General features: G+C 35.6%; 1 protein-coding gene across 10 annotated transcripts in view; it reads left to right on the forward strand.

Annotated features, from left to right (window-relative positions):
• Positions 1-23,495, forward strand: part of VRK1 (VRK serine/threonine kinase 1) — an 84,228-nt gene that overhangs the window by 35,543 nt on the left and 25,190 nt on the right. For 9 of the 10 annotated variants that reach the window (NM_001411051.1, NM_003384.3, XM_047431755.1 and 6 more), the window contains 8 exons: positions 543-707; positions 4,838-4,893; positions 13,171-13,240; positions 14,333-14,420; positions 19,907-20,015; positions 20,150-20,242; positions 22,300-22,432; positions 23,206-23,326. In NM_001411051.1, coding sequence (NP_001397980.1) covers positions 548-707; positions 4,838-4,893; positions 13,171-13,240; positions 14,333-14,420; positions 19,907-20,015; positions 20,150-20,242; positions 22,300-22,432; positions 23,206-23,326 — 830 coding nt within the window. In that variant the 5' untranslated portion in view covers positions 543-547. The remainder of the gene's footprint in view (positions 1-542; positions 708-4,837; positions 4,894-13,170; positions 13,241-14,332; positions 14,421-19,906; positions 20,016-20,149; positions 20,243-22,299; positions 22,433-23,205; positions 23,327-23,495) is intronic. The other variant, XM_017021626.3, reaches the window with a different exon arrangement.

A 23,495-nucleotide genomic window follows, 5' to 3' on the forward strand; every position in this document is an offset into this window, starting at 1 on the left:
CTCGAAATGGAGGTGATAATGTAATCTTCACAGAGTCATGAGGATGGATGGGAACCTGTGTAAAGCATTTACTAGCATGTCCCGGGAACCTTTGCCCCTTCCCCTTGTGCTCAGTTGCCTTATGTTTTCAATCTCTGCACTGTGTTCTATCATATCGGTATTGACCTTAATAAACTCTTCATTTTGTTCCTATAAAATGTGCATTCTAATTGGATGCACCTTTCCCTCTCAGCTTCATAGAGCAATTCTTTGTTGTTATTAAATAGCATTTTTAGTTGTAGTTGATCATTATGCCATTGGACTTAAACCTAATTATTTCCTTGAAAATAGTTGCATATATGATTTTATTGTTTCTTCTCCAAAGTTAAGAGATAATCAAATAGGATTTGAGCCATTATAAGTCAGAATTAACAGGTATCCTTTAAGTTTTGGAGTAAGTAGGAATTTGAACAGCATCTCCGTACGGAAGTTTTCCTTAGGGAAAAATGTTTTAAACACTTCTAAGATTAGAATTCTGACCATTTCTTTGTTTTATGTTATAGTGAAAATGCCTCGTGTAAAAGCAGCTCAAGCTGGAAGACAGAGCTCTGCAAAGAGACATCTTGCAGAACAATTTGCAGTTGGAGAGATAATAACTGACATGGCAAAAAAGGAATGGAAAGTAGGATTACCCATTGGCCAAGGAGGCTTTGGCTGTATATATCTTGGTAAGTGTGTGACTGCTTCTAATGATCAATCCAAAGATTTATATGTTTTCTTATGAAAATGGTTTCTCATTTATGAGCTGTTATGGGATGTTCCTAATAATCTGCAGTCAACTTAATAGTTTCTGATTAAGCAAAAATGCATCTCTGACGTAGGAGTGGAAATTGTTAATGCAGTCACAACAGAAAAGGAGGATAAAATAGCTGTAATACTATCATTAGTGAGCACTAGGACTTTAGATTTTTAAGATACTTTATATAATCTTAATCTCTTTTGAGACCCAAAGAAACCCATTTACGTATCTTTCCCCTCCCACCTCCACCTATGTGGGATTTATTCCCTCCGTGTTTGTCTGATTTAGAGGTTTGCAAATCTTTTACAAGTGTGAGTTTCTTTTTTCTTTCAGTGCAACCCTCTTAGCCATCATACTGGAACTAGGAGAATTACCTAGAAACTGCATATTAGGCCTGATTAAATGTGCAGATAACTAGCATACTTATTCTGAAATTTTTGGGGACCCGTTGTGGAATCCTGAAATTATGTTAGGTTAACTAAATTATGGACTTAAAAAATATTTTACCTGATTGCTTCTAAAGCTGTCTGCTTCACCAATAAATATATTTGCTTCTGATTTTTCTAACTTTTCCATTCTGTGTTCTCACTCTACTTCCAATCTCAGATTAATTAATTAATTTCTACCATGGAGGTTTATAAAATTTTATTTTTAGCAATATCTTACTCAGAATACTAATAATACGACATAGATTAGTGTCACTTGGGAACTTGTTAGACCTGCAGATTTTTGAGCCTTACCTCAGACTACGAATCAGAAACTGTAGGGAGAGGGCCCAGCAGTGTTTGTTCAAGGTGATTCTGATGCATGTTGAAGTTTGAGAACCACTGGTTGGTAAAAGATCACTGGTCTTACTCAAGAGGAGTCCCACTTCACCTGCTCCAGGAGCAGTGGGCCGCCCTTGGTCAGTTGCAGTTTCTGGAGCTATCTTTATGAAACATAGCTTGAAATCTAGTGCTTTATCATATTTTATGCATATGATTCCTGTTGGCCAGTGGCACCCTTTTTGTGAAATATATGTTGATTCTCTGGTTTTGTTTAGAGCCAAACCCATTCCAGTGAACTAGGCTGTATCTCTGATTTATGGCAAAAATCCCTGTAAACCATTAAAGAGTAGTGGCTGTATTAGCCAGGTATATATTTTTGATCTTGTGATGGAGGAGAGATGGTAGATTAGATAAGCTGTCTTTACTACAGGATATGTGGACTTATGCCATCCTGTATTAATAGAAACCTGTCTCTAAAAAAATAGGTTCTTCATTTTATATTAATTTGCTTTTGTAACCTTTTGCAAAGTTAAAACTTGCCCTGTGTGTGTCTCATCTGTTTTATCTGTATTTATCATCAAAAGGTGCCATCTAATAGTATTTTTAATAGGCAATGATTTGACCTCTGTAATAAAACTTTACTTTTGTAAGGTTGGGATGACTAATCTGTAAAAGGAGGGACTTGCTTGAGTATTGTCGCCTCCAGTCTCTGTCTCTATGATACACTGAAACAGCCAGATTCAAGATCATCAGCAGTTTGTTAATGAATTAAAAAGATTGCTTTTGAATTTTCTTTGCATTTTCTTTTCTGTAGCATTTGATACTGTTTATCTTTGTTTCTCATAACAATTGCTTCCATTATCTTTTATGGTAGCATACCTTTTTCCTAGTTTTCTTTCTGCTTTTCTGGCTGTACTTGGTCATCTTTATAGGCACTTCTGTGTGCTCCGGCTTTTCTTCTTAGGTTCACTTTTTATTCTATATATTCTTTCTGAGTGATATCAGGCTTCTCCTGCTGTCTCTTTACCGTTGATTTCCCTGTCTTTTATCTGTAGCCTAGGACTTGATTTCCTGAGTCCAGGCCTGTAGCCACTGGCCTATAAGGGATCTCTACTTAGATGTTCCACAGGCATTTCTAAAACTTGTATCATCATCATTTATCTCCTGATCCTGTCATGAGGATTGTCTCAATGAATGACAGCCTTGAAGCCAGAAACTGGGAAGGCATTCTTGAGCATTCCTTCACTAATATCCTAGTTCCTTTTCTAGTCCTATTGCTTTACCTGGGTGACTTCTCAGATCCATTCATTTCTCTCCATCTTTGCAGCCACTGTCCTGGTCAGGTCATTATCATGTCTTGTCTGGACTCTGACTGTAGCACTGAATCTTCTCTGTCCCAGTCTTGCCACCTTGCACACCATTGTTTTCAGTATGGCTTTTATGACCAAGTATACTGATCAGATAATACGATCATCCTGTTTAAACCTCTCTGATGACTCTCCAGTGTCCTTCAAATAAGGTGCCAGACTTTTAAAGAGTGGCATACAAGTCCCTTCTTATACAACGTTTATCTTCATCCCTTTTGTCTCCTCAAAGTCTGTGCTTCAGCCGTCTTGCTGCCCTTTGGCTCTTGATCTTTGTATATGATGCTTTAAAAATTTTTTTAATATATTTTATTTTACATTGTTTTTGTACCAAGCCTTTGAAAAATTTTTAGTAGCTTTACTGAGGTATAATCCATATACTTAGACTATTGGTATAGCCTCTTAACTGATCTGCCTGCTTCTGCCCCTTGCCCCTATACTCCATTCTCCACAAAGCAGCCCAAAGAAGTCTTTATTACCATAGTCTGATTTTGCTAACCCTCTTCCAATGGCTCCCCATCTTATTCATAGTGACAGCCAAAACCTTTATGTTACCTGTTAAGCCCATCGTGTTTGTTCCCTGCTGCTTTCTGATCTGTCTCTCCTCTTCTGCCTCACTGTTTCCCCCAGCTACTTTTGCCTCCTTGTTTTCCAAACATGTCAAGCACACTCCTACATCAGGGTCTTTTTTTTTTTTTTTTTTTTTTGAGATGGAGTCTCGCTCTGTTGCCCAGATTGGAGTGCAGTGGCATGATCTTGGCTCACTGCTACTTCTGCCTTTCAGGTTCAAGTGATTCTCCCACCTCAGCCTCCCGAAGTAGCTGGGACTAACAGGTGCGTGCCACCACCATGCCCGGCTAATTTTTGTATTTTAAGTAAAGACGGGGTTTCACCTTGTTGGCCAGGCTGGTCTCGGAACTCCTGACCTCAGGTGATCCACCTGCGTTGACCTCCCAAAGTGCTGGGATTACAAGTGTGAGCCATTGTGCTCAGTCCAGATCAGGGTCTTGGTGCTGTTCTCCCTGGAGTGCTCTTCACTAAGATACATACATGGCTTATTCCCTTCCTGCTCTCACTGCTCAAGTAACACCTTGTCAGTAAGGTTTAGATCCCTCTTACCATGTAGCCACTCTGCTTACCTTTCTTTCCTGCTTAATTTGTCCTCTATAGCACTTCACACTGTCAAATGTACTTCATATTTTATTTCTGGTCTGCATCTTACCACTGAAATGGTGGCTTTGTAAGAGTAAGGATTTTTTCCTGTTCATTGCTAAATCTCTATTTCCTAGAAACTGACGTTTAGTATGTACTTGGTAAATATCTGTTTAATGAATATGGGCAACCTTATATTTCTAACTCAGTATTCTGGGGCAACTGTACTTCTTTATTTACATGAAATAAAATGATAGCCACATTAAAATTATTCTGATGGCAGTTGAAAGTTCTAGTGCCAACATCCTGAACTATTGGTTCAGGTGAGTTTTTCCTAAACTAGTGCTTTTTAGAACTTTAGCCCCCTCATTTCTTACTCTTCAGATGCTCCTCTCCTCTTAAAAGAATTTCATAGTTTATTAAATTTAAGAAATGTATTACTTATCCTCTGGGGAATTCACAATATCCACTAGCATATCAAAGGCTATTAGTACTTTTGAATTAAAGAAATCTTTAACTTATTTAACTCAGTTTCCCATATGTAATTGATAATCATATAGAAGAAACCAGAAATTGTAAGATGCATTCTCAATTCAGATATGTTAAAACATGAATAAAAGTCTTAAAATTTATGAAATGTACTGTAATGATATCCTGAAACACATACTTGGGAACTGAAGTGTATTCTATCAAGGGTTACAGATATACAAACCTAAATATTAATATATTTATAATATTACTTGTTCTGATATCAAATATTTTACTTTTTTAAACAGCTGATATGAATTCTTCAGAGTCAGTTGGCAGTGATGCACCTTGTGTTGTAAAAGTGGTAAGAAATATTTTAGCTAATTTGTTTCTTTTCTGTTGATTTGGTGTAGTATTTTGTAAAATGCCTTTTTTGATTAACTAGAATTAATTAAACCATAAGATACTACATTTTTAATAACTTAAAAAATATTTAATAAGACACAAAAGTAGCTTTATAGTTTTAAATCACTTGAGTGTGAAAAGTTCCTCTCTTGAAATAAAGTGGCACTGGTATTCGGGGGTAAATGAAGGAAAGCATAAAGGCATGCAGATGTGGAATAAAAATATTCAGCTCATTTAAGAAATTTCAGCTACTTTTATGGATACTTTTTATATTTATATCCTATAAGACTATACTAATTTAATATAATTTTATTGTATTTTATTTTGCATTTGCTTCTGGACTTCTACTTGGTCAATTTTTTCTGTTCCCAATTTTCTTCCATTTTAGTAAATTAAATTATTTATTTTATTGTGATTATTGGGCCTTTTTTGCTATAATAATGTTGAAATTAGTTTGTAATGAGTAAAGATTGGCAACATCCTATCTGACATAAGCATACTTCTAATAGCCAGATCCATTTATATGTTGGCGAACTAGAAGACATTTTACCGTTTTTTAAGTCAATTATGTGCCTTTTTGCTTACCAACATTTGTTACTCCCCTTCTTCAAAATTACTTGATACATGTGAAGAATATGTTTTGGTTAAATAGAAGAACCAACAGGATGTATTATCTGGGCAAATTAACATATAACTCCTCCCTTACTTTTTCTCTACGGGATACATGTATTAGGGTTCTCTAGAGGGACAGAACTAATGGGATAGATGTACATATGAAGGGGATGCCCCCATGACTTAATTACCTCCCACCAGCTCCCGCCCACGACACATGGGGATTATGGGAGCTACTATCCAAGATGAGATTTGGGTGGGGACACAGCCAAACCATATCAACCAGAACTCAGGAATTACAATTACTCTGAAGGTTTTCATTTTGTTTCGTTTTACTCTCTTTTATATTTTATCTCTTAGGAGTTAGGAGTCAGCTTTTTTGGACCTTTTTAGTGATTTTTAAACTTTTTTAAAAAAATTGAGGCATGATTTTTACGGGGAAATACATAGATATAAAATGAACAGTTTGAAGACTTTTGACAAGCACATATACCTGTGTAATCCTCACCTCTTAAAATGTAGAGCATTTCCATCATACTAAAAAGATTCCTTATGTTCTTATTCAGTCAAAACCCTACTCCCTTGCACCCTTGGAGGCAACCACTTGTCTTGAGTTTTTTTTTTTTTTTTTTTGCCGTGAATGAGTTATTCCTGTTCCAGAAGGTTATGTAAATGGTATTAAACAGTATATATTGTTTTGTAACTTCTTATGCTCAGCATAACGTTTTAATGGTTCATCCATATTGTTGGTGTATCAATCATTTGTTTCATTTTATTGCTCTCTTGATAGACATTGAGGTTGTTTCCAGTTTTTGGTATTATGAATAAAGCGTCTATAAACATTCTTGTACAAGTGTTTTTATGGAGACAGGTTTTTATTTTTCTTGGATAAATACTTTGAGTTGCTGGTTTATAGGGAAGATGTCTATTTAAACTTATAAGAAAGTACTAGGCAGATTTCCAAAATGGTTGTGCCCTTGTACACATTGGCCAATAATATATGACAGTTCTGTTTGTGTCCTCTTCAACATTTGGCATTGTCAGTTGTGTGTATTTGTTTTTTAGCCATTACAGTTAGTATGTAGATGTGACTTATAGTTTCAGTTTGCACGTGCTTGTTGCCTAATGATTTTGGGCAGTTTTTTGTTGTGCTTATTGGCCATTCATGTATTTTCCTTTGTGGAGTGCCTCTTCCATTCTTTTTGCCCCTTTCCTCTTATTTTTATCTTTTAAAAATAACTGGGTTGTTTTGCTTTTTATAATTGAATAGTAAGAGAGTTTTTTTCTGGATGCAAGTCCTTTTTCAGATACGTGTTTTAAACATTTTCTACTAGTTTATAGTTTGCCTATTCATTTTTTGAATGCTTTTTCTACATCTGAGATGAATCACAGGGTTTTTCTCCTTTCCTCTGTCAATGTGGCAATTACATTGATTGATATTTGAGTGTTGACCGAACTTTGTATTCTTAACATACACCCCACTTAGTCATGGTGTATTATAGTTTTTACATAATGCTAGAATTGATTTGTGAATACTTTGTTAAAGATTCTTGTGTCGTTGTTCGTGAAGGATATTGGTCTTTCGTTTTTTTCCCCACTGTTTCTCAATTTAAAATTTCCAATCTCATTGTTGATTTTGGTAGCAGAGTTCTGTACCTGGCACTCTGTTTGGTCTTCCCCCTTTTGCCCTGCAGGCTTAAGTCTCCTCCATTTTACTCCTAGGATCTCTAGGGGAAAAAAGCCAGGGCTGCCATGGACTCACTTTGTTTTCTGTCTCTTAGGGGTCACAGTCCTGTCCTGTCCATTGTCTAATTTCTGAAAATAGAAATTTTCTGTTTTTAAGTCTGTTTTTATCTTTGTTTGCAGTGGGAGGGCTAACTGGGTCCCAGCTATTCCCTCGTGCAGGGAAGCGGAAGCAAAGCGATGCCTTTCAAGTTGTGTCAAAGTGCTTTATTTCTCCTGCTTCTTTTCATGATGGCCTTTCATTGTGGATTTTTCTTCTTCTTCATTTATGGAATAGCATTCTTTTTGGAATATTCAGCCTGTTGCTGAATCAGAGGAACTAAAGTTCTTAGTATTAAATTGGGTCATTTGTATTTAATTGCAGAATATTGTGTGCATTTGTTTTTGATAATACAAATTAAAATATTAAAATCTATGGGTAAGATGAGTTTCTTCTTAGGCTCATTAGGAGTTCTGTTGTGAGAAGAAAGCAAGTCTCCTTCTGACGTCTCATAACGTTGAGGTTCAAATGATATGGTTACCTCTGACCCCTTGCAGTTAGTTGGCATAGCTGTTTCTGTGTCTTGGAAGGAAAGTGTGCCAGTGTCATATCTTAAAGGTGGAACAGTGTATAATCATGTCTTTTTTGTTCTGTATAACTTGAACTTTTTTTTTTTTTTTGAGACAGTGTCTCATCCTGTTGCCTGGGCTGGAGTGCATTGGTGCAATTATAGCTCATTGCAGCCTTGATCTCCTGGGTTCAAGTGATCCTCTCACCTCAGCCTCTCTAGCAGCTGGGACTAAAGGCACGCACCACCATGCCCGGCTAATTTTTTTGATTTTTTGGTAGAGATGAGGTCTTGCTTTGTTGCCCAGGCTGGTGTCAAACTCTTAAGCTCAAGTGATCCTTCCCTCTCAGCCTCCTAAAGTGATGGGGTTACAGGCATGAGCCATGGCACATGGCCTCTGAACTTAAGTTGTATTTTCTCTTAGAATGATGTGCTTCCTTATTGTAATTAGAAATATTTCTGTTGTTCTTCTTTATTGTGAGTAATTAGAAGTATTTCTGTTGTTAGTCAATGTAACTTTACTTTTACTGCCTTTTTAACTTATATAGTTAAGAAAAAACATGGCCAGGAACAGTATTTTCTATATGCTTAAGGTAATGAATTATATTTTTAAGTTTAAGACCAAGTACCTAGTTCAGGACTGTGTATCTCCTGTCTCCTAATTTAGTTCTGTTTCCATTATCCTTTATTACTTCTTCTCTTTGTAATTAGGACAGTGATACTCAGTTGATTTCTCTTTTGCATTTAATATTTTAGTAACTTTTTGGATGTTACAGTTATCCTAGAAGAATGTCATAAACAAAACAATACTACTGACCAGGCGCGGTGGCTCACGATCATAATCCCAACACTTCGAGAGGCTGAGGTGGGTGGATCACATGAGGTCAGGAGTTCAAGACCAGCCTGGCCAACATGGTGAAACCCCTAGCCAGGTGTGGTGGTGCCTGCCTGTAATCCCAGCTACTCAGGAGGCTGAGGCAGGAGAATCACTTGAAACTGGGAGGCAGAGGTTGCAGTGAGCTGAGATGGCACCATTGCACTGCAGCTTGGGCTACAGAGTGAGACTCTATCTCAAAAAAAAAAAAAATACCAAAAATAAAACAAAACAGTAATATTACTGACTTTCTCCTTCCCTTTGAAGGGGAAATTTGTAACTTCTATTTGCTTCTTTTCCCCTAGCACTCTCTCCTGAATAAACACCTACAGCACTCATTGTATTAACATTTATTTTACAGTTTCATTCTTCTTATGCCACTAGTTGTTTTTAGTTTTTTTAAATGTGTTTATTCTGTCTCTCTAACTGAATTTTAAGTTATCTGATAAGGACCTTGTCAATAAAGCTTGTTTTCCCTATGCAGTCTTTAGAAGCTTATTTCATTTATTCTTTTGAATACTTTTTAGCCATTAATTGTCCATTGCCTTTATACTACTCTTTTCATTTACTCTCAACTTCCTCATGTCATTCACTTTCCTGTCTTGTCTGTACCATAGAGAGCAGGCCCACTCATAATTTGCCTTCTTACAACTTTCTAATATTAATAGTTGAAATGTTTCACCAAATAACAAACATGTAAAATGAGCATCAGTTCTTTCTGGTATTAAAATCAGAACTGTTTATGAACATTTGTCATTTAAAACATTATGGACTATTAAAGATCGTGTTTTCAAAGAACATGTACTACTCTTTGGGGAAGTTTTATAATTATTTCTAAAAAAGCAGGATACAAAGTTCTATATATAGTATGAAGGTTGTCTTATAAAATGGCTATTTATGAAGAAAATACATCAAAATGTTTCCATATTTTCTAAAATGAGCATTATTTTATCATTAGAGAAAAAACTTGCAAATGTTACGAAATAAAGGCAAATTGATTTTCTAATGTGAAATTTTACTTAATAATGTAATAGCATATCACACAGTGGTTCTCAATCCTGGTTGTAGAGTATGATCAGAATCTGGGTGTAGGGCCTGGTTATTGGTATTTTTAGTAAAGCTTCCCAGGTGATTCTTTTGTGCATCAAGATTGAGAGCCACTGGTAGAATCTGGCACACAGAGCACCTTAATTATTTTAAATGGAATCTTGTGGCTGGCACATTTTTATCCTTGATTTCAGTAAGGGTGTGCAGGTACCCTCTGCTGCTGGTAAGGGTTTCTAACTTAATGTGGACGCTTTGTCAAAAAGTTGGTTATTGCTGATAATACATGTATCTGCCTTATGAAACAGCTCCAGATAGTTAACCCACAAATCTCTTATTTGGCATTGGAGTGAAGTTAAGACATACCCATTCAAGGTAGATGTTAGGCACATAATAAAAATGTTCTCACATGTACCAAATGTTGGTCTCTGGTTTTGGTTGGGGCTTTAATCCTTGACCTACAGAACAGACACTGTATTTTATTTCTGAAAGTAACTGTGCAGGAGAAATGTTGGATAATGCAAGGAGAAAGAAATTTTCTTTTGTGTTTTCTTGCTGACAGACTTAATATGAAATTAGTAGTTCTTTGAATTGCACTTACCCTTAGTCATGTCAGTAGCAGAACTAGAGGCAGAGGTCAGGCTTTTGGATGGTATCCTAACAGGTCATTGTACTGTGGTCCTTTTCAGATGTGAACTGATAAGAATCTGTATTTCACAGTTCCTTGGAAAGAAGTTTGCAGACTGATGTTTGATTTTCCTCACTGATGTTATGAGAAGTGACCTGAATTTTTAATTCATATATCATAATTTTTTGGTAGGAAGGAGAAATTTTGTACAGCTTCATTTTTAAATGGCAGCCAGTTGCTTTTAGCTGGTGCCATTGAAATATATCACATTTTAATTTTTTTTCTGTTGTCATCTTCATTTTGACACTTAGAAGTCTTAAAGAAACGTTTAGTGATATTCTAGTTAAAATGTCAGTCCCAATTTCTTTTCTAAATCTTGGCTATTATAGAGTTGGCAAAGTATTTTAGATTTGAAATATGTTAATAAAATTTTAGTTATGAGTTAAGGTATTTTCTTCAACAGGAATAGCTAGCTTTGGCTAGAGTGCAATGCCAAGGAAGTAGCTCCTTTATTTTGTGATAATGGAAGTTTATTGGATTAGAAGAAGTATGAAATGAGCTCAGAGAGCCTTCCTTGTAGTGGGCTTTCATTATAATAGCCTGATTTATATGGTTGATTCTCATTATTATAGGTTTAATAAATTATTGCCTGAAGGAAAACTTGAAAGTTAAAGTTGATATGACATAGGTTGAAACTGAATAAATCAGAATTTTATACTGATTTGTCTTAGGAAAACCTCTTTCAAACCTGAATTATATAAATGAGCTATTCCAAAGGTAAGCTTTGGAGAGGAACTTTACCAGAATTTCTCCTTTTGAATTTCTTTTTCTTAACGCTGATTCTGTGATTCCTACCAAAGACCTATTCTTAGCCATTGGCTGGAAACACTGCAAGTGTCTCTTGCAAATGCTTGCAAGTGTCAAGCTATTATTGCTGCTAGGAAAGGAGCCATAGGTTATAGAGGAACTTGGGTACTGAGTCCATAAGTTAAGGAATCAGCACTCATACTTTCAGTATGTTGGTTAGTTCCTCCTTCTTAAGGAGTTGTTGCATGCCAAGCCATGATACTACTGTCTTCCAAGGTTAAGGTGAAAAGTATACTTACCTGTAACAAATAAGGCACGCTTGTTTTCAGGTTGTGATCCAAGTGTTAATGTGTGTTGCCCATTTACTGTTAAATGCTCATTAATAACTGCCTGAGTCTGCAGATTGGCTAATCCGTTTTCCTCTAAGTACTTTATTTTTATTTTTGAGACAGAATCTTGCTTTGTTGCCCAGGGTGGAGTGCAGTGGCACGATCTTAGCTTACTGCAGCCTCCGCCTCCTGGGTTCAAGTGATTCTCCTCCCTCAGCCTCCTAAGTAGCTGGGATTACAGGTACTCGCCACCATGCCCAGATAATTTTTGTATTTTTAGTAGAGATGGGGTTTCACCATGTTGGCCAGGCTGGTCTTGAACTCCTGACCTCAAGTGATCCGCCCGTCTTGGCCTCCCAAAGTGCTGGGATGACAGGACAGGCATGAGCCACTATGCCAGGCCTTCTTCTAAGTACTTTAATTGGGGATTCCTATTTTCTGAATTATAAGAAATCTGAGATAATTAGAGCAGAGAGTATGGAGTGGTTTTCTACAGTTGAGGGTATCTTGAGTGAAGAAAAGGTGAACATATTTTAAGTGCTTGCAAAAGTCATCTCTAGCAACCCAAAACTATAAGTTGTCACTCATTTAAGGTAGTAGGCCTCATTACTCACTTCCCCCAATGCTCTATTTAACTTTGAACTCCAGTTAACCAAGATATTCTGCCCAAAATAATTTTTTTCTCATACCTCCTAAAAAGAAAAGCAACCCTAAAATTAGTTTAGAAATGTTAGCTTCCTCATTTGAAGTTTTCACTGCTTTAAAAACTTTTTTTAATTCCCAATAAATAATGACCAACACAAAATACCAGACATTAAATAAATACTAATTTTAATCAGATGAAATTTACTATTTAAAAAGTCCACAGAATTATAAGATCTTTTCCACTCTTACATATTTATTTAACAAGGCAAAACTGCTGACAGGCTGTTATTTCTTGTTTGTGCAAATACGTTTTTGTGAATGTATGTCTCTTTAGTAATAATTTTAATTGTTAATATCTCTAAAAACATAAAATGAATGTAGTCCATAACATTGGTAGAAAACAATTGTTAATGAGCCCCATGTTTGGTTTGACAAATGTAGGAATCTGTGTCAGAAAGGAAGGATGCAGGTTAGTGGACAGTGCATGCTTGTTCAGGAGATGCATAATATGGGCTCTTCTTTGTGGTAAGGTCTGTTTTTGCCAGTCCTGATAAAGTAGATATAAGTGTAATGAAAACAGGAAAGGAATGGGATTTTGGCATTAATTGGTTAAATTAGGTATTGAAATTTTATTAAATCTGAGAAATATCTTATAGCCCCTTGGTGATACAGTTAAGATGATTGCTCATCTTTGCTTAAGGGAAAGCTTAATAAAGATGAAAATTAGTTTAAACATTTTTCTTAAACTTCTGCAGGCTGAGCTATATATCTGATTTTGTATAATTTATCACTTATAGAAATGGAACTTGAGCAATATAAGAAATATAGACTAATATTTCTCTGAACATTTCTAAGGAGTTTGACTTAATCTTAACACAGTTATAAACTTAAGTATCAAAATTACATTGGACAGAAAAATAGATTTGTTGGTCTTTTTTGAAGGTTCATTGAAAATATCTCAGTAATTTTAACTACTGCTAGTACTAATTAACTCTTATATTTTAAGGAACCCAGTGACAATGGACCTCTTTTTACTGAATTAAAGTTCTACCAACGAGCTGCAAAACCAGAGCAAAGTAAGAAATACAGTACACATACGTTTACACTTTTAAAATGACCAGTTTTTTGTTTTAAGCCAAGACCTAGAGCATTGTATCTTATTTTATGACTCTTTGTTATTTTTTTGCTTTATAAATTCCACTTACATGGGATTTGTGTGAAAGAATTCTGGTCTTTTAATGGGTTTGTTGCATCAAGATTTTATCTATATAGATACATAGAATGAAGTTAATAATAAATGACCTATGATTTAGGAAATATTGTTAAACATTGAGAATTATTGATGAAATAGAACAGGATATCAAGGTAGAGAGCCAGAACCTCTCCTAGTCACTTTGGTCCCTTCTGTCCTTCTTCCATGTCTCTTAGATCTTGATTTCCTGGTTGAGGACTTTTATATTGAGGAAGAAAAACCTTTTAGATTGGTATGAAAAATAGGTCTTCCTGTAGAAGCAAGTAAACATTACATAATTAGAGAGAGAAACTGCAACTTCAGGATAGTCCACCCCCGTATTCTCAGATTCCACATCCTCAGACTCAACCAACCAGGGATAAAAAATATTCCAGAAAAAAAAAAAAGCTACAATAAAAAATAACAATTCAATAATAAAAAATAATACAAATAAAAAACTAGTACAGTATAACTATTGACATAGCATTTACATTGTATTACATATTATAAGTAATCTAGAGATGAGATAAAGTATATAAGAGGATGTGTGGAGGTTATATGCAGATATTACACCATTTTATATGAGGGACTTGAGCATCTGGATTTTGGTGTCTTGAGGGGTGGGGGTTCCTGGAACCAAGCCCCTAGAACAAAGGAATGACTGCACTGTAGTTTTGATTTAAAAAAAATGCTTTTTGTAGATTTTTCATTTTAAAGACAATTTTAAGGGCAGGATAACAATTTTGTAGGTTAATAAAAATGTTTTCATCGTAAAATGCTTTTCGTTATTCGTTATACTGTATTCTTCATTTTCTTTTTTATGAATACAGGTGAATTCTTATTGCATGTATAAATACATTTTGCTCTTAATGATTTTTTAAAAAATTATCATTTATGTATAACAATTGAAATCACAAAGATCTGTTTTAATTTGTAGTTCAGAAATGGATTCGTACCCGTAAGCTGAAGTACCTGGGTGTTCCTAAGTATTGGGGGTCTGGTCTACATGACAAAAATGGAAAAAGGTAAAAATATGTGTGATTTGTCTTTCTCCTTCCCTTTTGCAACATTCACTATTTAGTTGGTTTAGTCAGTAATTATTTACTGATCACTTACAATATTACTAGGCCTCCCTCTGGAGTATGTGGAGTGTATGTGACAGAGAGGAATAAGATGTTATCTCTGTCCTCTGCTTTCCATAGCAGCAGGCTATGATGCCTTATTAGAATAGGAGTGCCTCTCTAGTCAGGGAGCTTCTGCAGAGCAGTATCAACTGACTGGAACCCAACTGACAAGGAGGAACAAAGCCAAACACCCTGCCTTTTTTTCCTCCTTGCCTTTAGAAATAAACAAACAAAAACGCCTCTGTTCTTCATGCAAAAGGGAACCCCTTCAGGATTCCATTTGGTATTTCTGCCCACACAGAAATGTTGGATACATAATCTGCCCACACAAGATTAGGCTCACCCTTTATGAGGGTTTTAGTCTAGCTGGTGAGTGAAAACAAAAATGTTTGAAACAATTAGAGAACAATTAAGTGCTAAGTTGTATAATACTGACTTACGTGTCTTAGGAGTTCAGAGAATGGAGAGAATGAATTCTTTGGGATAGTTTATTTGGAGAAAACTTCTAATACTTTGGTTCATAAGCAGCACTTGATACATATTTGAATGAATGAATGGAACTTCATGGAGTAAGGCTTTGGTAGCTGAGACTTGACGGGTAGATTTAGTTTGGAACTGGGGATATATTGCTTAGGATGATTTCAGCTGCAAGTAAAGGAAAACTTTGACTCAGGCAGTCATCAAGGGCCCAGGTTCCTTATCTTGCACCTTTGCCCTCCTCTTCTTGGTTTTGTTCTCTGTTAGTTCTCCATTGTGTGGTCGCCAGGTGGCTGCTCCATTTCTAGGCTTCACATGCAGGCACAGTACCCAAGGGCAGAAAATGGTATCTATCGTGTGTTGTGAGTTTCACTTTCCTGGCAAAGAAAGCTTTCCCAGGAGCCCTGTGGCAGACTTTCTCTCACGTTTTCTTGGTCAGAATTTTATCAATACTTAAACCATTGACTGGCAAGGACAAAGTGATCACAGCGATCCATGTGGAAAAGGATGGAATGCCGGAACCAAATTGGTGCTCCGTTAGAAAAGATTGAGAGGAGGGGTAAGTAGTTGGGTAGGCAGCCAGTGTTGTTTACTTGGGATCCATGCCTCTCTTAGGGAGTGTGGGGATCCCTGAAGTCACTTTTAACATTTTATTTTATATGGTTTTGCTGGGATAGCAAAATATATTATAGTTTTTATAATATTTTCTGGAGAAATACTATAGAATAAGGATTAGTTAAGTTAGTTAAGAGCAAGGATTCTAGAGCTAGACTGCCTAGTTTTAAAACCTTGTTTTGCCCCTTAAAATGTGTGTGAATTTGGGCAATTTTTTGCTTTAATTTCTTCATCTGTGAAATGGAGTAACAGCTACCCACTTAATGATGTTTTAGTATAAAGCTACAAGAGTATATGTAAAACATAGATGTTAGCTTTTGCTCTCAAAGGGGTCTTTAATCGCTTAAATGTTAAAACCTACTGGTTTAGAAAATCATTGAAGAGGCAGAACAGCATCTTAAGTGGGAGATGAACGTGAGCACAGGCAGGATAGACTTTTATTCTACTGTATGACCCAATGGCCGTCTTCCTGTAGCAGAGGAAGAGGGCATGTGTGTAAGAGAGAAGGAAATAAACTTGGAGAAGGAGTCGGTGGCAGATAATGAAGACCCATAGAGGAAAGAACAGTTTGGAACCCATGTATAGTAGGTAGTCAGAAGCTATCACTTGCTCTTGAGCAAGGGATGAGGTGACATGGTGGTGAAAGTGGCATTTGGGAAATGGCTTACATGGTGAATTAAAGACTGTCTAAAGGGGAGTAAGACAAGAAAAACCCTTAGTGATGACTTGCTAGGAAGCAAATCTGTTTGACTGTGTGCTCCAGTATACAATAGTTATATTCCTAAGGAACAGTACATTATGAAAACCACATTTCATAGAGATGATTGGAAGAAAAGTGTACCTGGGGCTAGAGCATTTTTAGACTTGGAATAACAGCCTTTTCCTCTTTCCATAATTTGAGTATAAACGTCTTAAAAAAAAAAAACCAAGCACGGTATATTGCAGCAAAACCTAAACACCAAACAAATCTAGCACTAGATTGATTGTACTTGACTCCATCAGGTGTGGTCATGGGCTAGTTAACTTTCTGTCTCTCTTGTTTCCCTATGTGTGAGATGAGGATAATAGTGCTTACTTTATGAATTACTGTGAAGATGAATTGAAAACATGTAAATTGTAAGGGGCACAGAGTAAGTGCTGAGGAAATGTTTCTTGCAGTCATCATCACTGTGATTATCATAATTGGTTTCATTTGTTTGTCTATGATTTTTGTTTGTCAGTGGTGGTATGTTGCTTGAGAATGATGGTCTTTTTAAAAGTAGCCCACACTGTCATATCACATTTTACCATATACATTCTTATCACCCATTTTATGATAAAGTTCAGAACCAGTTAAACAGGGCTTTTGTTTGTGTGACTCCTGTGAGGTGACCAGGGACTAAGTGGGTCCAAGGTTGACTCTGTAAGCTGACTGACTTGGGCACTGCTGGAAAGAACTTCCCTGGTGTGGATCAGAAGTGCCTTAGAGTGTGGTGACAAATGAGAACACAGTCTAAGTCTTAACTCACCACTTACTAGTGATGACTTTACCTCCCAGCCCATTTCTTCTATAAAATGAGGTTGCTAGAAATGTCTCCTTTAAAAAGATGGCATTAGTCATATATCAGGCATTGATTTACTTTTTAGGTTGAAGCTCTTAAAAAGAATCATTATAGGTCTTAGAAAGTAAAGAAATAGAAAGTAGATTATTCTTCCAGCCCCCTTCCATGCCAGACATGCTTAGTTTTCCTTGTAACTCATTTGAATTAATATGTATGTAGGGCTTAGAGCAATGTTAGCTGCTACCATTATTAAATTATTTTACACTGATTTATATTTTTCTTTTACTTGCACATTTTATCCAAGTCTCCAGAAAAGTATACATCAAAGGTTTTACTTTAGAGGAGTTACTTAGAAATAGCTTTCATTTTACTACTCAATGGTAGAGCCGTCTTTCCAGAAGAATGTGGTAATGGTTTCTGTGAAATTTGTGGAATCATGTTTCAGTTGATGTTTATGATTTAGGTATGGTGACAAGATTAAGGTCTTATTAAGAGTAGTGGTAGGGTGATTTGTGAATAAAAACAAAGACCTATGTAACAGAATTTATTAATAGACCCCATGTTGAATTAAGCAGTTGTGTTTTAGCCACCTTTCAGGCTGTTACAGAGGTTGTATTTTTGTTACCTGTGTATTACAGGTTAAGTATGCCTTATCTGAAATGTTGGCACCAGAAGTATTTTAGATTTGGGATTTCTTAAGGATTTTGGAATATTTGCGTTAATACCTACTGGTTGAGCATCCCAAATCTGAAAATGGGAAATCCAAAATGCTCCAGTGAGCATTTCCTTTGAACATCTTGTTGGCACTAAAAACACTTTCTAATTTTGGAGCACTTCTGATTTCAGATTTTCAGATTTGAGATGCTCATCCTATGTTATAATCATTACACACATCACCTATTTAGTAAAAGCCAACATGTATATGTGCCCTGGTCTCATCTCTCAACCTTGCAAAATCTGTTACACAAAGGAAACCAGGAAGTCAAAGTTACCATTTTCACTTTATTATCTTACAAGCCAAGGTGCTAGGAAATCTTACATGAATGAATATATTTTGTCACAAATTTTTTTTTTTTTTTAATTGAGGTGGAGTTTGCTCTTGTCGTGCAGCTGGAGTGCAGTGGCTCAATCTTGGCTCACTGCAATCTCCGCCTCCCAGGTTCAAGCAATTCTCCTGCCTTAGCCTCCCGAGTTGCTGGAATTACAGGTTCCTGCCACCGTGCCCGGCTAATTTTTGTGTTTTTAGTAGAGACGGGGTTTCACCATGTTGGCCAGGCTGGTCTCGAACTGCTGACCTCAGGTGATCCACCAGCCTTGGCCTCCCAAAGTGCTGAGATTACTGGCGTGAACTACCAGGCCCGGCCACCACTGACTAATTTTATAACCTTGGACAAATCACTTTACCTCCAAAGACCTTAGTTATTTTATTTATTAAAAGATGTTTAGACAAGATGATTTTCTAATTTTCTTCCAGTTCAAAAATGAATAGAATTCTGAGTTACTTGTTCAACATCTTGTCTTTTAATGTTAGTCAACTCTTCCTTCCCTATTGAACTTGTCATATTGTTATCATAGAAGCCTATAACATATAAATGGGATTTTTGTATCCTACTGACATTTATTTCAGTTAATATGTAGTACAGGGGTTAAAAGCATGATTTTGCCACATACTAGAGGACAAATTATCAGTTTTCTTCTGCTGTAAAATGGGTATGATAGGAGTTACCTACTTTATAGAGTGATGTGAGGTTTAAATGCATTAATAACGTTTTAAGTACTTACAGTAGTGCTGTGTGCATACCAGGTGTTCAGTAAATGCTAGATGTTATGGTGTTGATGATTCATAATCTTCCTCATTGGAGATGTCCTGATACATTCTGAGTGTGGTTTTGATTTTTATTGATTTACTGAATGATTTCACCAGACAAGTTAGAATCTGGAAAACTATTGAAGATAAAAGTGGTCCTCAGAGCAGAAGCTAAGCAGTGTTATTGCAAATAGGTGATGCTTTTCTGTACATACTGAAATATAACGTGATTATTGAATCTGAGTTTTGGGTGTTGAAAGTGACCTTAGAAAGGGTGAGTCCCTGCTCTCTCATTTTACTTCTGTGGAAATTGAGGCCCAGGAAGTAATGTGACTCAGCCAAGGTGACATAGCTGCTTTATGCAAAGCCAGTTATCTTCATGTTTTTTCAGGATATTTGTTTTTCCCCAAATCTTGGCCATTGAGTGTTTAATGTACAATCCTTTTACGCCATTTAAACAATGGTATTGAATCTGGCTTTTGTTAAAGCATCTCACGAGAATCTTGATTTTAGCAGAATGTTGTTACTGCTGAAATATACCTTAAAAATAAGGAGAAACAGTCACAGGAAGGAAGCTGATATCCAGAAACATGAATTAATTTTAACTATGAGAAAAATCAATGCTGTCATTTTTATTCAGCTTGTTTTATTTTTACCGTGAATAAACTTGTTGGGTTCTCTCTGTGAGCATTATCTTAAATTGAATAGTCTCTTGAAACTAGCTGCGACCAGGAAGAGGCCCTCCAGGTAAAAAGCAGGACCTGAAAGCACTCTGAACTCTTTGAGATTTCTAGTTGGGAGAAATTGTTTCAAATGTTTGTATTTCTTTTTTAAAGAATACTTCTTTACTAAACATTGTCTTGAAAAAATTACTTTGAGAGTACTCATTACAAAGTTGGTTTTCTTGCATTGTATTTTGTTCATTGGCTTTTCATATTTGTCTTCAGTTACAGGTTTATGATAATGGATCGCTTTGGGAGTGACCTTCAGAAAATATATGAAGCAAATGCCAAAAGGTTTTCTCGGAAAACTGTCTTGCAGCTAAGCTTAAGAATTGTATGTGAGCTATGTTCTTCTTGTTTTTAAAAAATTGTTTTGAGTACAGTAAAGGCTAGTTTATGTTGAAGCTTGGTCCTCTGCTGGCTGGTGTTAGGTACTGCATTAACTTATTCTGTATGATACTTTCATAGCTGGATATTCTGGAATATATTCACGAGCATGAGTATGTGCATGGAGATATCAAGGCCTCAAATCTTCTTCTGAACTACAAGAATCCTGACCAGGTAGTTTTATAACTTTAATTTCTACTATTTAAAGCGTGTTGTTTGAAAATAAATATGGTTGCTTTGAACTTTTGAACCTGTGTAGAAGTTTTACTTTTTGAAGTAGATATGGTAATAATATTTCTTCTTGACACTTTGATCTAGTTAACATTCTACATTTTTGATGTGATTTGTTGGCACTTTATCAAGTTGGCTATTTTGCCCTAAATAATATTCAGAAGAAGTGCTTGTGATACAAAATGAATTTCAAATAGCTATTTGGGGGTGGAAGCTTAAAATTATATAGTACACCAATGAATTATGTTTGCCTGTCTGCTTTGTCACTTTTTTTATTCCTTTGTTCAAGAAATCCATCAAATGTAAGTGTTCTATTACTTGGAAAATTTGGTCTTTAACATGTTGATTATTCAAATCAATTGGTTTACAGAAATATCTTAGCTGTCTAAATTTGTATACCCTTAGTGTTTGGAATTCAAATGTGCATTTTTTTTTTAGCTTATTACATTCCCTTTGTAATTTTTACTTTCTAAGGAAAGGAGAAAAGCTAATGTTATTATACCTTTATTTAGGTCAGTTTAGTTGAAGTAGAGGGATCTATACAATTTTCCTGTATAACTGTTTCTGTGATTTCGGTGAAAGTAAGGTTTAGTTGACATTCATACTTAATGTATGTTCTCACTTCTTACTTGATCTTACATAAAAAGGAAGATTTAAACATTTTAAATGTGTTTGGGTACTTTGATTATTGTAATTATTTGTCAGTACTCTGTACTTCATTCTTTCTCTCAAATGTACCTTTAACTACCTTTGCTTAGTTTTTCCTTTTTCCTTTGGCTCTCTTTTCTTTTTCTGTCGTCTCGTATTTGCTTCCCTTCCTCCAATGTCAGTTATGGTGGATAGAAGGGAATCTATATAAGTATAAAAGAAGAAAGTTACTATACTATTAAGATAGTGTGCTAATGGAGAAATCTTAAAAAGGCAATCATCAAATTCATCTCTGCTCTTTCTAGCCATTTCTTTTTAGATATTTCTAGGCTAAGAACAAAGAAAACGCAGCTAACAACCTGAACAATAAGGGTTCCATTAATTGAAATAGTCTGGACTTGTACAGTATAATAAAATACAACTTATATCACTTTGTAGGTGACTAAAACATGCTGCCTTTGTTTATATGGAAATATTTTTGCAGCTCTGTTATCCTTCAGACATATGCTTTGGATGGGATTATTTTTCCAGTGTTAGATGTATGTGCTAGATCTAGCCACATATTTTTACTTCAGTTTCCTCTTGTGCCCAGATGCATGCATTTGTGACATTTACTCAGAATTAGAGATGTAATGTGTGGCTATGGAATGGAAGAAAGCCAAGTTTATTAGCTTTGTATGCTAATCAGACCCACATGTATATGCCCACGAATAAGTATGTATATAATATTAAAATTTACTTTTAATCATGAAGACTTGGCTTTAGAATATAGTATTTAGATATAGATAAAAGCCTGATCTAACAGTTCTTTAGATCATTATTATGATGTATGAAATGTTTTTATAAAGTAAATTGAAATTTGATTATTTTACAAGTGAAGAAACAGAGGAATAGAAGGTAACTAACATATCATGTGTCAGCATCATTAGCAGTCTTCTACTGGGTGTGCTTTTCTGTGTGGAAAGTAGCAGTTGTATTGCAACAAGTATTGACGGTTTGCTCTGTGCTCAATTTTAGAGTCTGTAAGATAAAGTATAAAATGTATAATTTTCGTTCAAATTGAGACAAGATTAATTACAAGTATAACATATACTTATCTTAAAAAAGTATATAAAGTCAAGTGATTACACTGTAGCTATGTGGTCATTTAACATTTTTATTAAAAATAAAAAGCCTTTCAGAATTAAGTATTTGCTGTTGTTTGCATTTTGGATCTAAATTGTTTGGAGTGTTATGGAATGACCTTGTAGGTGAACCCACCTTCAGATGCCAGTATTTTGTTTCTGTGCTTTAAAGGGTTATATGTGCAGTGATTTTGACTTTAGTTTGTCTTGGTGCTTGGAAATTTATAGGTGTACTTGGTAGATTATGGCCTTGCTTATCGGTACTGCCCAGAAGGAGTTCATAAAGAATACAAAGAAGACCCCAAAAGATGTCACGATGGCACTATTGAATTCACGAGCATCGATGCACACAATGGCGTGGGTATGTCAGTAGTACTGGAGTGAGAAATAGACTGCTAATGTTTTCACCCAGATTCCTACATAGTTCTTAATTATGCATAAGTAAATGAATAGATAAATAAAAATTGAAAAGGCACAGTGGCATGAGGAAAGAAGGCAGAGGTGAGACTCCTACAATTGTATTCCAGGACCATCTGTGTTCTTCTGTCCTGCCTTTTCCTCGCAGCCTTCAAAGATAACCAAGAAGGTGGTAGTGGTTCATTCAGCTGCCATGAGGATTTCTTTTTGGTTTTATTTAGTTTAATTGGAATGTTTGTTTTTGTGTTTTTTCTCAAGTTTCTTATGTATCTACAACTTTGTAACAGCTAACTTTTATTTTGTTACCTGTTAAGTTAGTTTATTTCTTCAGCAGTCATTTCTTCTGTGCTCAAAGCTGTGGAAGAACTCAAATACCCAGTTCTCTGGGCCTCTTAATAGCATATAAAAATTTTAAGAATATCTTCAAGTTTTCCAAAGGAAAACTAGTTTTATTTCTAGACTAACAGTCTCCGCTTGAAACCCTGAAATTTACCAATTTGGGTTTTAAAGTAGATTATTAGCTAGAAGTTAATTGGGAGGTAAGCTATTTCTTTTATACTGTCCAATGTTCAGTACCTAGGTGAAATGCAGTCAAAATTTTATGATGAAAAACAGACTGTGGAGTTGACTTGTTTTATGTTATTACTTTATATATACTTTAAATTATACATTAAAAATTATTTCAGTCTACCTAATGTTCTTCTCTTGCATTTGTAGCCCCATCAAGACGTGGTGATTTGGAAATACTTGGTTATTGCATGATCCAATGGCTTACTGGCCATCTTCCTTGGGAGGATAATTTGAAAGATCCTAAATATGTTAGAGATTCCAAAATTAGGTAAAGGAAAACTTAAGTTATTTCTAGCAAAATCATGATAAGCCAAATGTTTTTAGTCACAATTTCTTGATAGGAACTATAGTTTCAACTGATACTGATATAGAAATAAGAAAGTACTTGTTAAACAGTAAGGTTCCTTGGTCTTTTGTTTATTTTAGAAAAATGTCTG

The sequence above is a fragment of the Homo sapiens genome, chromosome 14, assembly GCF_000001405.40.
Source record: "Homo sapiens chromosome 14, GRCh38.p14 Primary Assembly".
In the NCBI taxonomy this organism is placed as follows: domain Eukaryota; kingdom Metazoa; phylum Chordata; class Mammalia; order Primates; family Hominidae; genus Homo; species Homo sapiens.